This window comes from Homo sapiens, chromosome 5 (assembly GCF_000001405.40).
Source record: "Homo sapiens chromosome 5, GRCh38.p14 Primary Assembly".
NCBI lineage: Eukaryota > Metazoa > Chordata > Mammalia > Primates > Hominidae > Homo > Homo sapiens.
Window position 1 is genome coordinate 109310904 of NC_000005.10, and position 16128 is coordinate 109327031.

The following is a 16128-nucleotide window of genomic DNA, read 5'->3' on the forward strand; positions in this document are numbered from 1 at the left end:
TGGGCTGCTGTCTCTGTATTATCTCTGTTTAAAGTCCCCTAATGATTTCTCATTTGCCCTGAATCCATGAACTGTGTAGACAGACAATGGCCTCCTTCTTCCTCTGATAAGATTTTCTACTATCCACCATGTTCTCACTCAGCCCCAGCCACACTGGCTTTTTCTTTGACAAGTTACATTCTTTCCCCCATAGGTTCTTTGCCCTAGGTATTCCATCTGGAATCTTCTCCCTGTAGATCTTTACGGATTGGTTCCTGTTATTCACTCAACAGAAATGTCCGAGTCCTTTTTCTGATCATGCCCCATCATGGTTCCCCATTCAATCTCTGAATCACCACCTTGTCTTATTGTCACTGTAAGATTCATCACTGTCTGATATTTGTTATTGGTTTACTCTGTCCACATGAGGGCTGGAAACTTTTGCTATCTTAGGCAATGCTAGATAACTGTGCCTCAAGTAGTATCTGGATCCTTAAATGTTTTCCAAATGAATGAATTCATGGAGATGAAACCTGGCTCTGAAAAGTAGTAACAGTAGGGTATATTCATTATTTTATACTTGCCCATGTGTCAAGTGTTATTTGTACTTATATTTGAAGATGAGCAACGTGAAGTTTAAAGATGTCCAAGGATGGGCATTTGTGTTGGCTCCAAGTCTTTGCTATTGTAAATAGTGCTGCAATAAACCTATGTGTGGATGTGTCTTTATAGAAAGATTTATAATTCTTTCGTATATACCCAGTAATGGGATTGCTGGGTCAAATGGTATTTCTAGTTCTGGATCCTTGAGGAATCACCACAAAGCTGCAAACCATCATTCTCAGCAAACTAACACAGGAACATAAAACCAAACACCACATGTTCACACTCATAAGTGGGATTTGAACAATGAGAATATGTGGACACAGGGAAGGGAACATCACACACCAGGGCCTGGCGGGGGGCGTGAGGGGGTAGGGCAAGGGGCAAGGGGAGGGAGAGCATTAGGACAAGTATCTAATGCATTCGGGGCTTAAAACCTACGTGATGTATTGATAGGTGCAGCACACCACCATGGCATATGTATACCTACGTAACAAACCTGCACGTTCTGCACATGTATCCCAGAACTTAAAGATGTCCAAGGATATGCAAGCAACAGGACTATAACATACACCTCTTGAAGCTAAGTCATTGGCTTTACAAATCCACTATTGCTGCTTATATGTTTTATGGCTGTGATTGGGAAGCTCCCAACCCCCACAAGTACAGTAGCTTAAATAAACATTTTTCTCTCACATGTTATTACAGAATTCAGTGTCTGTCAGTCAGAAAGTGATGTCCATCCCTGGATCCAAGTTGGCTGTCCCAGTTGTTGGCATTTCCTAGCCAGTTGAAAGGGGGAAAGAGGGAGTGGACAGCCCAAAGCTTCCTTAGGAAGACATGATGGGGAAGTTGCACACACCGCCTTCACAAGAGATATAGGAGAAGCTAGTTTGGGGAATGTATGCCCAATTAAAACTTGGCGAGTTTTGTTACGAGAAGGAAGAGGAGAGTAGATGTAGGGGGCAATGAGCAGTCTGAGACCTTGTCACAAGCCATCAGATGATACAGGTTATCACCGTAACCATTTTACATAGGAGAAACAGGGGCTCAAAGAAGTTCACCATTGGCCAGCCTTAATGAAATGGTTTTCACCATTAGTGAAATAGCAGAAATCATAATATTCCACTTTAGTTCCCCATTTCATCATTTCACACACAGATACCACTTCATGTTCTGTGCTCAGATGAGATTAGCCAATTTTAATCCTGCTACATCATTCAGCCTTGATCTCTTAGAAGTTTAAGAGTGATTAAAACACTCTTAGAAGTGTTTCAATCAAAATGGACAAGGAAGTAAGCAGAGGTGAGAGCCCAGAGGGCTGGGACGCTGTCTGACCCTTTGACAGCATAGCTTGCCTCCTTCTGTATACTGGGCTCCTGGGGAGACTGCCTTCAAAGGCTGTATACCCAAATAAGGTAGGACTCGGGTCTCAAGCAGATGGGGTTGAGTGTACATTGGGGGCTTTGTAAATAATGAGAGTCAGGTTCTCTGGTTGCTGAGCAACAAACAGGTCATCAGTAGGTAGAGTAGTCACAAGTTCTTGTTTGCTGGGACAGTCCTTGTTTACAGCTGTTGTCACAGTGTAATTAAGAATGCCCCTCTCAAAACTGCACCAGTTTAAATAAATTATAATGTACCCTACCGATAGGCCTATGTTACCGCTGACACTCAGGCTTAAATGTTTTGGGGCAAAAACACTTTGGAAATGTTGAACAGCTAAGCAAGAGAGATGCCTGACATGCCTTAATTCAAGTCTGTGGATTTGATTGCCATTGTGAAGTCCCAGTGAGAAATTGCTAGTTATTTCCTGGTTCAAATTAGTGGAAATTCCATTCTGCTGGGTAAACCCAAACAATCTAGTTATAAAGGTAATTTTGTTATCTGTTCTTAGATTATCAAACAGCATGTCTTTGTTTTATACTGTAAATTAATGATTAAAATATCTAGAAACAGAAGCATGCATAGTCACAAATTATCCAAACTACATAAGACTTTATAAAAATCTGTAAGACACATTTAATAAGTAACCTAGAATTCATCTATTTCCCGTCTATGCCCTTTGGTTTCAATGACACTTTTCAGAATACTGAGTGACACTGCACATGGAATTTCAGAAATGTTCTGAGTTAATCAAAATGTACTCAATTTGTAGCACAACAATTTTATTTCCCAGGGGTCATCACCACCACTCCATATCTAAGAACCTGATAAAAAATCCTGGAGATTTGTAAAATGAGTTCTCAAGGAACTTTGGAGTAAGAAAGATGTAGCTAAAGATCAACACATAAAAAGGTCTGCTTCTTGAAGTTGGAATGAAACACAGGAAATATTCATTATCTAAGAATGGGTAAAAGAATAAAAGCTACTTAAGGTGAATTCACTCACAATAGCAACCAGAATTTCATAGTACGTGATGAAAACAAAGGTTTGATAGAACTAAAAAACTACATTTTTGTATAACTTTCCAACAAAATTGTAGTTCAGCATATACCATATTTTACTTAATGCTTGATTTTTTGCAACATGACCACAAAGAGGATGACTTAGCCTCACTTTTGAAAGCCTCAGCATGTGCAATTTTGAGCAGTTCCATTCACTTCCATCAGACATTACTTCTATGAAATCCTGAATATTTCACAAGATTTACATTTTTATTTTGCAGATCAATTGACATTGTGTTAACAGTGCATTGTTGAATATTCCAGACCACGAATCATACTGGAACCTAAATAAAGACACTGATATGATTGGTGGGAATCAACACGAAATGGAGAATATTTGAACAGGGAATAATTTCATGACTGTTCGGTCTATTAGATAATATCTTTCAAGTCCCTCATGTCAACGAGCAACAGCAGCAAGGCTGTAAGTAATGAACTCTGGACTTATCGAGGACACCCTATACTTTAGGCTTGAGTCCTAACTCCAGCTTGCACTCTGGTCTTGAACAAGTCACTTTGTCCTCCAAGCCCAAGAAAACCAGATTTTTGTGGGATCCAAGGGGTTCTGTATAAATGCTTTAATGGACATGTTCTGAGGACGTGTGCTCATACATTTCCTTCAATTCAAGAGTCCAAACCTCGAATCTAAGGTCTTTCACATGGTTCCTAAAGTTGCTCCCAGCACTCACATTCTCTGGTTTCTGATTGAATTCTCAGTGGGGAATAAAAGTAGAAGATTAGATTAAATGCGGGGTGCAGCGGGGGGTGGGCGGTGCAGGGGGAAGTCTTTGAACTGTTACCTGTCGTCAGTGTTGAAACGTAGGTAGGTAATCCATCTATTCTAACACACAATCTACTCTCCAGAAACTCCTTGAAACTTATTTTACAGAAATACAGAGGCTGGGTGCAGTGGCTCCCAAAGTCCCAGCACTTTGGGAGGCTGAGGCAGGTGGATCACCTGAGGTTGGGAGTTTGAGAGCAGCCCGACCAACAGGGAGAAATCCTGTCTCTACTAAAAATACAAAATTAGCTGGGTGTGGCGGCACATGCCTGTAATCCCAGCTACTTGGGAGGCTGAGGCAGGAGAATCGCTTGAACCCGGGAGGTGGAGGTTGCTGTGAGCCGAGATGGCGCCATTGTACTACAGCCTGGGCAACAAGAGCAATACTCTGTATCAAAAAGAAAAAAAGAAAAGAAAAAAATGGAAAAGGAAAAAATGGAAGAGGAAAAAATGGAAAAGGAAAAAATAGAAAAAAAAAACAGAAAAGAAAAAACAGAAAGAAAAAATAGAAAAGAAAAAAGAAAAAAGATTTTTTGAGTTTATGGTTTCAGGGGAGTCAGGATGCTGTATGGAATACTTAATGATGTATATACAATTGCAAATCATTAGAAATACTGGGCACTCAGCTGAATCTATTTTTAAGGACTTAAAACATCACTAACTACTATCCTATATAAGTAATGATGACTAAAATATCATTGTACTCATCAGGCTAGGAAAACAAAAATAGCATGTACTATTTAATATGGGTAGAGTGAGTCGGCTTTCTGAGAACAGTAACTTGGCCTCTTATACAATTATTCCAAACCTTGGCATCATCATAGCTGTAACTTTATTAAAGACTAAACAGTAAACTAAGAAAACCTCAATGTGATATTCTTGTAATAGCAAATAGAAGAAATAAATTGTTTTGATGGACCAGCTCCACTTTCAAGGCTCTTTAGAATCTCCTTTGATGGACTTAGAAGATTTGAGTTGCATTTATTCATCATCTGCTCATCAGGAATGGAGGGACTCAGGGAAATCTGGCATGATAGTTCTACATTAGTGTATGGCTGAACTCATGAAAGCTTGAGTGACAAGGTTCAGTGGTGGATGGGCTAAAGCCAAGGGTTTTAGGAAGTTATTTTTTATTTAGCACTCTTAGCCAAATAGAACCTGTCTGTCAGTGTGGGGTTTGAGAACTTTATGTAAAAACTTGAAGCAGGTTATGGAGACTGTTAATTCAAATAGAATCAGAGGCTAGGACATGGAAACTTGTTAAAGCAATTTACTGAGCTGATTTCTCAGAAATTTTTGGAATTTTAAAGGACTCCAGGAGATCAAGTTTGTTGGGCTCCTGAGCAGACCATACTTCGTAACAGATGGTAAGAGACATGTGAATGATTGAAGCTGTATAGAAGAACAATGAGCAGGCTGGGCACGGTGGCTCACGCCTGTAATCCCAGCACTTTGGGAGGTGGAGGAGGGCAGATCACTTGAAGCCAGGAGTTCTAGACCAGCCTGGCCAACATGGTAAAACCCTGTCTCTACTAAAACTACAAAAATTAGCTAGGCGTGGTGGCACACACCTGTAATCCCAGCTACTCAGGAGACTGAGGCACGAGAATTGCTTTTACCTGGGAGACAGCGGGTGCAGTGAGCCGAGATCATGCCAGTGCACTCCAGCTTGGGCAACAAAGTGAGACCATCTCAAAAAAAAAAAAAAAAAAGGTGGGGTGGGGGGTATCGTTTACCAATTCAAGTATGTGCCAGTATTTAGATTAAAACTGAACATAAAGTAACTGACAATAGGAATTACTTTCTATTGAACTGCCATGAGATTAAAATCAGATTTTCAAAAATTACACTGAAGTGAAAGTAAATTAACAGTCTCAGAAGACATCTGGAGGTTCTAATGGCTATGTAAGGATGGACATTTTTGTTACTTGCTTCCCCAGCATTTATTTCTCCCTTTTTAGTAGTAGCTCCCATTTTTCATTGGGATCCATCCCTTCTCCATTATCGGCCTGTGGGACACCATCCAAGGCTCCATGGGGTGGACTCTGCTCAAACACGTGACTCTGGATTTAATCACGCCAATCATGACACCATCTCCTTTTGGTTACAGTGACTCAAAGACTAATGGGTGTGACCAGAGTGGATGGTGAGTCGCTGGACTTTCTGGGAGGCTACTGAAGAAACTTTCTAGAGCCAAACCTAGGAGGGTGTGAGGATGTAGCTGCTTTACTACCTTGAAAGCAGAACAGGGAGATTTCAGGCATCATCTGGAGAAGACTGAGGATGAAGACAGTCAGACATTGAAGAGAAACTGAATCCTAGAGGCCCCATTTAAGCCCCGAACCCAGCCATGCTGAATGCCAGGTGACCCCTGACTCTTCAGCTCTGTGAGGCAATAAATTCCCTGCTTAGTTCCAGCTTAGACTCAGTTTCTATCACTTAGAACAAAATAATCGCGATTAAATGTACTTGCCCTTGAGTTTTGAATATATTTCAGGATGAGCATATCAGGCAACTGTTTCTTAGTTGACCAAATTTCAAAAACTGCTGAGAATAACTACAACTGGTGCTTGTGTTGCATGACTCCAGGGGTGCTGTTCAGAGACTACCCAACAAAGAGATTCCCCAAATCCTAAGGAAGGTGCAAGAAGGTATGAACCCCAGTTCTCTGGAATCTAATTCTGGTCAATGAGGCTCTGAGAAATCTATCTTCCAAAAAAGCCACTAAAGTAAAATGGGAGAACAACCAATGAACTAAACCTGGGATTAGAATTGAGGTGTATCCTGCCTGAAAAAGATCTTACAGTTCAAGAATATTTTGTAAGCTAAGTATTAATATTTTCACTTAATCAAAACTAAACAACCAGCATGAAACCTGTAAGTATATTTTTATGAAACTGTGAGACCTGTCTTATTATATGTAGTAAAAATATGAACTTTAGGTCATTGGCCCACTACTTTAATATGGATAGCTTTGCCTTACAAAATGCTGAAGGTAGACAATAGTAATGACAGACTTTTTTTTTTTTTTTTTGAGACAGGGTCTTGCTCTGTCACCCAGGCTGGAGTGCAGTGGCATGATCTCAGCTCACTGCACCCTCTGCCCCGCCAGGTTCAAGTGATTCTCATGCCTCAGCCTCTGGAGTAGCTGGGTTTACAGGTGCGTGCCACCATGACCAGCCTTTTTTTTTTTTTTTTTTTTTTTTTGGGTAGAGATGGAGTTTCACCATGTTGGCCAGGCTGGTATTAAACTCCTGACCTCAAGTGATCTGCCCCCTCGGCCTCCCAAAGTGCTGGGATTACAGGTGCGAGCCATCGCACCTGGCTGAATTTCTAAGAGATATGTCCTCCCCATAAAAATCTCACAGATTTAATCCTAACTGCTAAGTTGAGAAAACTCATTGGAAGCACAGGCTTCTTCAGAAGAGTTTACAAAGCTGGGTGGCAAGGTCTTCCCCATCATCATGCCAGTTACAGGATGACTGGTGGCTCAAATGGATGGCTGAGGACTCCTAGAACCTTCAACAGCTTTCTCCGAGTCCCCAACTACTACCACAAAATGTCCTCCCCATAATCCCCTAAAATGACATCACTTAGAGTTCCCTTTGTGTTGTTGAACACCTGCAGGTTCCTAGCCAGCCAAACTTGAATGTGGTTACTTTAGCCAGCTTGCTGAATCAAGCATGGAACTGGGGAAAGTGGAAATAGGATATCAACGGAAAGCATGTCCCTCTTTGGACAGGATTAAATTGGTTGAGGGAAGGAATCGAGAAAGCAGCATGTATTCAACTTTCTCTTCTACCACTTAGAGGCACTTACACGTTATTTGATCTAACCTTTCATTCAGCCCTTTGAGGTAGGCATCATTAACCGCCCCCACTTTTTTTTTTGAGACAGAGTTTTGCTCTTGTTGCCCAGGCTGAAGTGCAGTGGCGCAATCTCGGCTCACAGCAACCTCCGCCTCCCGCATTAACCCCATTTTTATAGATAACTCATCAGTTATGCAACCCATCAGTTATGTTTGTGTTTCACAGTGAGATATAACTACAGTGGCTTTCTACAAGAAAAGTGTTTATTTTCTCATGTAACCAGCACAGAGGCAGAAAGGCTAGATATAGCATCACCTGAACAAGACTGAAGTAAGAAAGAAGTGGTGAATGGAGAGTGGAGGTACTAGCAGTACCTAGCACAGCTGATGACAGATTAAGTAGGATACTAAATGTAGACAGTCAGCAAAATAAATAAAGCCAGAATTTGAACCTTGGACCGAACCCAAAGTCAGTGTACCCCCGCCCATATTATAATGACTCTGGATGAGATCCTAAAACTGGAAGGCACAGATTACCTTAGGTTAAGCCATCAGCATGTAGGAGCAGTTACCAAAATAAGCTCTTCATTTCCACCTTCCTCCTCAGAGCTAATTACCACCGCCATCGCTTTCAGCACCTTATCTACCCTTATGTTGTGATTTTCCTCTGATTTGGTCTTGAGGCTGCTCTGGAGAGTGTCTGTAAACTCTAGCCCTGTCCTGAGGAGGCTCCAGGGGAAGTGGTCGTGCAGTGGCATGATCTTGGCTCACTGAAACCTCCCCCTCCTGGGCTCAAGCAATCCCCCCACCTCAGCCTTCCAAGTAGCTGGGACTACAGGCATGCGCCACCACTCCTGGCTAATTTTTTGTAGTGGGGAAGTTTTGTCACGCTGTCCAGGCTGGTCTCGAATTCCTGGGCTCAGGCAATCCACCTGCCTCAGCCTCCCAAAGTACTGGATTACAGGCACGAGCCACTGCACCCAGCCAGGATACTTCTTTATCCTCGTGGACGGCCTAATGCCTAAGTGTGACCCATGACCAGGTGTCCCTCTCACAGGAAACACTGGCAGAAGCCCTTGTGGCTCTTTTCTGGCCTGGGTCTAGTTTATTCCTACCAGGATAGTCACTCTCTGGGAAAACCCTGAGCGGGAGAATTAGATTCAGGTATGTTGGTCAGGTGAGACACAGAGGGGGCCACAAAACAAAATATATGAAATGAGAGAAGCATTTTATTACTTACACGTCCCTGAGGGCCGATGGGAAGTCCAGAGACAGCAGGGCACTCGACCGGCAGGTGGGAAGGGAGAGTGAGGGCTTGAGACTAGGCCTCCATGAAGGCCCACGGGCTTTCCTCTGGCAGTTGTGGATTGGCCAGTTTAAATAAAACAAGTGTGTATGCGGGTGGGGGTGGGGGGGTGGCTTATTTGCCTGACTCCGGTGTTGACCTTAGGTTTCCTCATGGTCAGCAGCTGTGGAGTGAGTTGGGCTTTGGGTTGGTGAGATGAGAAACACATGGGCTCCTCCAGGCATGGTGGTTCATGCCTGTAATCCCAGCACTTTGGGAGGCTGAGGCAAGTGGATCACTTGAGGTCAGGAGTTTGAGACCAGCCTGGCCAACATGGTAAAACCCCATCTCTGCTAAAAATACAAAAATTAGCTAGGCGTGGTGGTTCATGCCTGTAGTCCCAGCTACTTGGGAGGCTGAGGCAGGAGAATTGCTTGAACTGGGAGGCAGAGGTTACAGTGAGCCAAGATGGTGCCACTGCACTCCAGCCTGGGTGACAGAACAAGACTCCATCTCAAAAACAAAAAGAAAAAAAAGAAAAGAAACACACGAGCTCTATCATGCCCCTCTAAGGAAGAGAAGTCACACCTAGACCAAAGGTGGCAGGGTGCGACTGGGTTTCACACAGCTGATGCCGGGTCTAAAAGTGGACGCTGAGGCAGCAGCTATAGTAGACAAGTCATTGACACCTTGAAGATGACGTTTCTAAAGTTTCTTCCTTCAAGAGAACACATGTGCATTGTCTTGTGCTCAGCACCAGCAGGTGTGGACACCAATCGCTCTTCTCACAAAAGCCATCTTTTTAGTTGCCATTGCCAGGGTTTTGAGGGAACTAGAAAGAAGGTCAGGAAGCTAATTAGGGGAGGGATGCACGCTTATGGAAGATAATCTCATGCTGAACATCGTGGTGAAAATTTATCCCTTGAGTCCTTCTTAGAAGGGGGTTTTGCTTTTCTAAGTTGTATTAACTTCATTGTATTTAGCCAACACTCAGGAAAGCATTACAAGAAAAGGTGGCTGTGATGTTTTTTCCCAGATTAAGTTGTCAACCTAATTTTACACAAGTCAATAATAAGAAAATTCTGGCAGATGACTTCTATGAGCAGGTAACATTTCCTCTCCTAGTTATCGACATGGCCCAGGTTCAAAATGGCTCAATGTAGGATGGGAACAAGTGTAATGTGCTTCTAAGTTAATTGTTTTATTTTGAAATAATCACAAACTTACAGAAATGTTATAAGTATGTGACAAATAACTCCTTTTTCCTGGATCTATTTGTAATTCACCAACCTGATTCCCATCACCTCTAAATACTTTAGTATGTATTTCCTACAAACAAGGACATTCTCCTGTAGAAACATGATGTAACTATCAAAATCAGAAAAGTAACCCTTACATATTGTTGCCATCTAAACCTCAGCCTTCCTTCCATTTTAGCCAATTGTCTCCTACGTGTCTTTTATGGCAAAAGGCTCCAGTTCTGAATCATGCACTGCATTTGTCACGTCCCTTAGGTCAACTTTAGTCTGAAACAGTTTCTCATTTTTGTCTTTTCTGACCTTGAATCTGTGAGGATTACAGGCTAGTTACCTTGCAGAGTGTTCCTCAATTTGAGTTTTTCTGATGTTTCTTCATAGTCAGATTCAGGTGATGCATCTTTAGAGGGAATATCACAGAAGTCCTAAATGCCTCTTGTCAGGTGGCACAGGATTTCCATTTAATGGAAACATCATTGATGATGTTTCTTCACTTTGACACTTGAGTCAGGTGATGTCTGCCAGCCATTCCCATTGTAAAGTTACTTTTCTCCTCTGTAATTAACAGGTGTTGGTGGAGAAATCGTTTGAAATTATGTAAGTATCCCATTTATCAAACTTTATTTTATTCACTTCTTTACTTATATCTGAGTGGATTTACATTTCCTATTTTGTTCAACGGGTTATAACCTTTCATTATTGTTTAGTTTGTTGCACAAATTGTCCCGTTTGGCCAGTAAGGGCCCTTTCTAGCCAGCTTCTAGTCTTTGTGATATGTTTCCATCATTCTTTGATCACTTCCTTTTCTGGCTCAAGATGTCCTAGGCTCATCTTTTCTTTTCCCAACCCTGAAATCAGCTATTTCTCCAATAAGCCCTGGTTTCTTTTAGTGGAAGGTGATTTTTAGAGATCGAGATCCGGGTATTAGGATTATCACTACTCCTAGGCATCTCAGCCGACAGAGGTAGGCACTGGATCTGTGTTACAGTAGGTAGCTAGGCAGGCATGAGCAGGGCGGTGGAGGGCTCCCCCTCAACACACACCAGGAGTGTCAGGCAACCAGCAGGTGATGGTCAGGCGGTTGTTAACTGTTTCTCTGAATAATTGGTCACAGCCAGCGGCAGGGAGAGGTAGTCTCCTAATAGATAGAAAACATCTGAAACTGGTCAGCAGCTTCCCAATAAGATCTCAGGAGTGGGGTGAAGTAAAGCAAGATCCCGGAAGTATGCCAACATATAAAACCCTAGGTCAACAGGTCAGGCTGCACATTTGGTTTCTCAAGTTGCTCGCTTGGCCCTCTTCCAAGCTGTACTTTCCTTTCCTCCCTGTTCTAAAGCTTTTTAATAAAGTTTTACTCCTGCTTTGAAACTTGCCTTGGTCTCTCCTTCTACCTTATGCCCCTCAGTCAAATTCTTTTTTCTGAGGAGGCAAGAATTGAGATTTGCCGCTGGTAACTTGGGGGTAACTTGGATACCTGCCACCCCTAACATCTGTCTACACACACACATTTAGAGCTACATTTATACATCTATGGATACGGAAAACCATGGATTCACACTGATACATTAAATTCCCATTCAACACCGTGGCTTCCATCTCATTTTCTCCCTCTCCACATTTGTAACTCCCTTCACTAATGGTGAAAAATCTCAATTCCATATGATTAATATATTTTGTATTTTATCAAATCCCCTGGATGTAACCAACCTCCCACTGACCCATCGCCATGTGCTCCCCTGTACTCACCTCTTGTGGGTCCTAGCTCTCTATAACTGAGCTGCCCCTACGGGGATGCCTTCCTCACCCAGTGTGGCTCTGACACCCTGCAGCAGCCCCCCCGACTTCCACCCTCTCCCTCCCACTGCCTGGCATCCTCAGCTTGGGGTTCGATTCTCTGTGCTGGGCCATTCTCTTCAGGGACACTGTCCATACTTACTTGGGCTCCAATACTCTGTAGGACTTGAACACACCATGCTGAGCTGCCCCTCTGCAGGACTGCCTCCTGACCCTGTCCTGATGCAGGCACTGCACTCTGTGCCACTGTGGTTTCCTTCACCCTGGCGCCCATACAGTCTTCGCTCTGCCCTACCTAATGGTTTTAGCACTGAATTGTTCAGGAAGGAAAGAGAATGAGAAATAAGTCATGAGATCTGGATTAAAACAAAATTTAGAAAATAGCATTGGAACTCGAAATGAACCATGACCTTTGACTTGAAAGAAAGAAAAAGAGAAGGAATTTTGGAGGCCTCCAGGCCAGTGGTCATTTCCTCTGTTGAGGGCAGTGGATTAAGTGGTATTTATGTGTTTAAAGGGGCAGATCCCTGCACAGTAGAAGTGGTTTTCCCCCTAATACGTAAAGGAGACAATAGATCTAGAGAATGCCCACTGTTGGTCTAGCCTTGGAACAACAGAGGTGGTGCATCAGCTTAGTTTCTCAACACCAGCTGCACCCATAGTGGATGACCACGCACATCCTTCAGAGAGGCCTCAGGACCTCCTGGCCCATGGCTCTGGCTTCTGTGACTGCCCTAGCAACTTGACCCTCAAGGATTCTTTTCTTCCGCTACATAAAAGATAATCTCATAGGAGGCTTCATCATTTATCTTCAAAGCTTTAAAAATAAATTTGGACATTGTGTTTACTGCACGACTTACTTGAAACTGCTGCTGTTTAGGAGAGTGGATTTCAGTATTATTCATGAATTCTGTGAGAATCTAGATGGTTGTTTCACACTAGGCAGAAATTTCAAATGATTATAAAGGAAAACATGAGTCTTAAAATAACTTGGTATGTTTATTTAGAAACACAGGAGGTAATGGAAGTTTGTATTAGTATGTTTTAGCAAAGCCTTATCAAGATGGACACTGGGAACTCCTGACAACAACATGGCACAATGACTGGCCTCTCAGGCTGTGTACCTGGCCTCTCGTCCTTAAGCAGAGCACAGCACAGCCTAACAGCCCCTCTCAAGAAATAGCAGTGAGGAAGGAGTTCGTGCTATGCCTGCAAATTCCCCAGGAGAAAAGCCTTGGTTTGTTTTAGAAAACATATTTGCTTGTTTTTATATTTCTAGAAAAGATTAGCAAAATTCTTGCCCTTTAGAGTTTTTAAAAAGGTAAAATAGAATTGTGATTGGGGGAAATGTTAGCACTTAGTTTCTGTCTTGAGTAAAATCATAAAGCAAGATTCTCCAACCCATGGCCCACAGGCTGCATGCAGCCCAGGATAGCTTTGAATGTGGCCCAACACAAATTCATAAATTTTCTTGAAACATTATGAAATTTGTTTGCATTTTTTTTTAAAGCTCATCAGCTATCATTAGTGTATTTTATGTGTGGCCTAAGACAATTTTCCTCCTTCCAATGTTGCCCAGGGAAGCCAAAAGATTGGACAGCCTTGTAGGTCAGAACACTCCTCGCCTCAGAGGGGCCTCCTTCCTGCAGTGCCAGCGAGGACCTGTGAGGCTCTGCTGGGACGCAGACGCAGACAGGCCGCCCCACCTCAGCCTCACTGCCTTGTGAGCCCTGAGGCCCAGGAATGTGCACGACTAGAGACTCCATTCTTAGTTTGAGGGCTGGAAGCAGTGGGATCATGAGTGGGTATTTCCAGGTCCTATAATGATAGACAATTAAGGAAAACTGAAACCCTTCAGCCAGCCTCAGGACCCGAGAGTCCTGTGTTCTCTGTTGTGATCAAAGAAACAAAGTAAAGTGTGTCCCGAAAAGTCACTCAGCCCTAATTATGGCAGGACTCAAAACAGAGGGAAAGAAAGTAGTGATCCTATGACAGGATACCTTGCTTATAAGGTGGCTTTCTAAGCAAAAACCATGAATAAATTATAATCGAAAATTTCTACACAAAAATATTTGAGGATAAATGGAACTGTGTTCACTGGGCACTTAAAACACATACACACAAGGCATAATATCGGTGGATTAACTTTGCTTCAAGAAATAACATAGATCGTGCAAGTCCCTGTGTGGTTAAGATTTTTGGCAGAAAAAATAAGCAATCTTTGTCCAAACTTTAGTGTGTGTAAGAATCTCCCAGGAAACTGTTAATAATGCAGATTCCTCAGCTCCACCCCCAGAGATTGCTTCACACGTCCACGGAGCAAACTGTAATAGACAACAAATTAGGGAGAAAAGAGGAAGGGTATCATAGTCGGCCAGGACTGTTTAGTGTGATGGAGGCCTGGGGAGCCCAAGTCCCTCATTGTTGAGCTGCAGATAGCCAGGAGAAAGGCATGGGTGTACCTCCTTTGAAAAGAACAAATTTACTAAATTATAAAAGTAATATATTATATTCAGTTAGAGAAAAGAAACAACTAATACTATTATCCAATTACTCTAACATGTTAACTCTATTATTACCTCATTCCCGTCTTTTTAACAGATGCCTAATTTTACACAATCAGAGGACATGCATTTATAAATTGCCTCCTCCTTTCCTCTCTGTTTTATTGCACATAAGCCCTATTCCATGTCTCCTCCTGGTCTCCCTAAACATAATCGTAATGAGCTCCATGTTGTCCTATTGGTTTCAAGGTCACTTACTTTATCATCATCCAGCTGTTGAACGTTTACTTTGCTTCCAGCGTTGCCATGTTGAATACCTTCATTCCTAGAACCTTTGACCTTCGGTTCCAATCTGAAGGTAGATTCCCTTCATCCTTCGGATCTGTTTTTTTTAACCCACTGAATGCTCTTCTCTTGTGATCTTCCTCTCAAGTCAGGGCCCAGGTACAGCCTACTGGCCTTGAGAGCAGTGCTGCAAAGGGCTGGGGGCAGTGGAATTTTCACCGAGTCCAACTACTGAAGGATGCTAAGAAGGAAGGGAATTTTTTTTTTCTGTGCTAGAGATTGTCCAGATCTCTGGAATAATTGTAAAAAAACAAACAAAAATAAACAAACAAGAATCTCTCAGGGACCAAAGAAGAGCTTATAGAATTAAAGAAAGGAGGCTTTTTGGAATGAAAGGAAAGGAGAAAAACGGAAAATAAAACACAACCTGAAAGCTTGAAAAATGATAACAGCTAATGCTTATTGAGTTCTTTTTTGGGGACTTTGAGGGATCTGAGGAAATGGTGTCCCTCTTTCCTGATCCGCTTCTAAACAAACAGAGGAATAAGAGAAAGGAGTGGCAGATAGTGGCCAAAGCTGCACCTTTGTTACTGATATAGGCTGAGGAAGGAAATGGTTTATTTCTGTAGGCAAATGCTTTTCTCCAGAGCCACTTCTAGGGCGCGCAAGGTCCTGGGCAAATATTTTTGTTGGGTTCCTGTCTACATAAACAATTTGACTTAAAAATATATTACAAAATTCATGAGCCCATGTGTGATACTGTGATTTGTCAATGAAGATTTAGATCAAATAATGAATGAAGAAGTCCTTCCATGTGGAAGGAAACATCAGGAATGGGGAAAACGTGTTCCTACCCAACACTGACTATGTGCCAGATCCTAAGTACTTTACATATGTGAACTCACTCATAATAACCCTAGATAGAAAACCATCTGTTCATGTTTTATAGATGAGGCAACAGGTACATGGAGGTTGAGTAAGCTGCTCAAGACTTCACAGCTAGAACGTGGTAGGACTAGGATTTAAGCTCAGTCAGCCTGGCTGATGAAGGAAAGAAGGAATGAAGGAGAGACAGGAGAGAGGGAAGAAGGGAAAAAGAAAAGTGAGAAAAGGCAAGTGCCTGTCACCTCTAGAGCAACTGGCAGGATTGTTTAGTTCCTTCCAACTTGGAGTCTGTAAATAAATATTGCCTCAGCTTCCCTCTTTTTAAACTCAAGAAAGTTTGCCCAGAACAACCTAAATTTGTATTCCCATTTGATAGGAAAAAATATTCGTTTTAGGTGCAATCAAGCTTATCTTCACTTTTGTAGAGATCATCTCTGACATTAACAAGTTGCCAGAGAACGCTGTTACTCAATTTATAAGACAAAATGTTCCCTTCATTGTCTT

At 42.4% G+C, this 16128-nt stretch overlaps 1 long non-coding RNA gene across 1 annotated transcript in view; it reads right to left on the reverse strand.

Annotated features, from left to right (window-relative positions):
- LOC285638 (uncharacterized) overlaps positions 1 to 15466 on the reverse strand; it is an 89236-nt gene extending 73770 nt beyond the window's left edge. Inside the window, exons 1-3 of the long non-coding RNA NR_149040.1 lie at positions 12093 to 15466; positions 10491 to 10711; positions 8856 to 9732 (exon numbers count right to left, since the gene is read on the reverse strand). This is a non-coding gene — a long non-coding RNA (uncharacterized LOC285638). The remainder of the gene's footprint in view (positions 1 to 8855; positions 9733 to 10490; positions 10712 to 12092) is intronic.
- Positions 15467 to 16128: the final 662 nt, after the last annotated feature.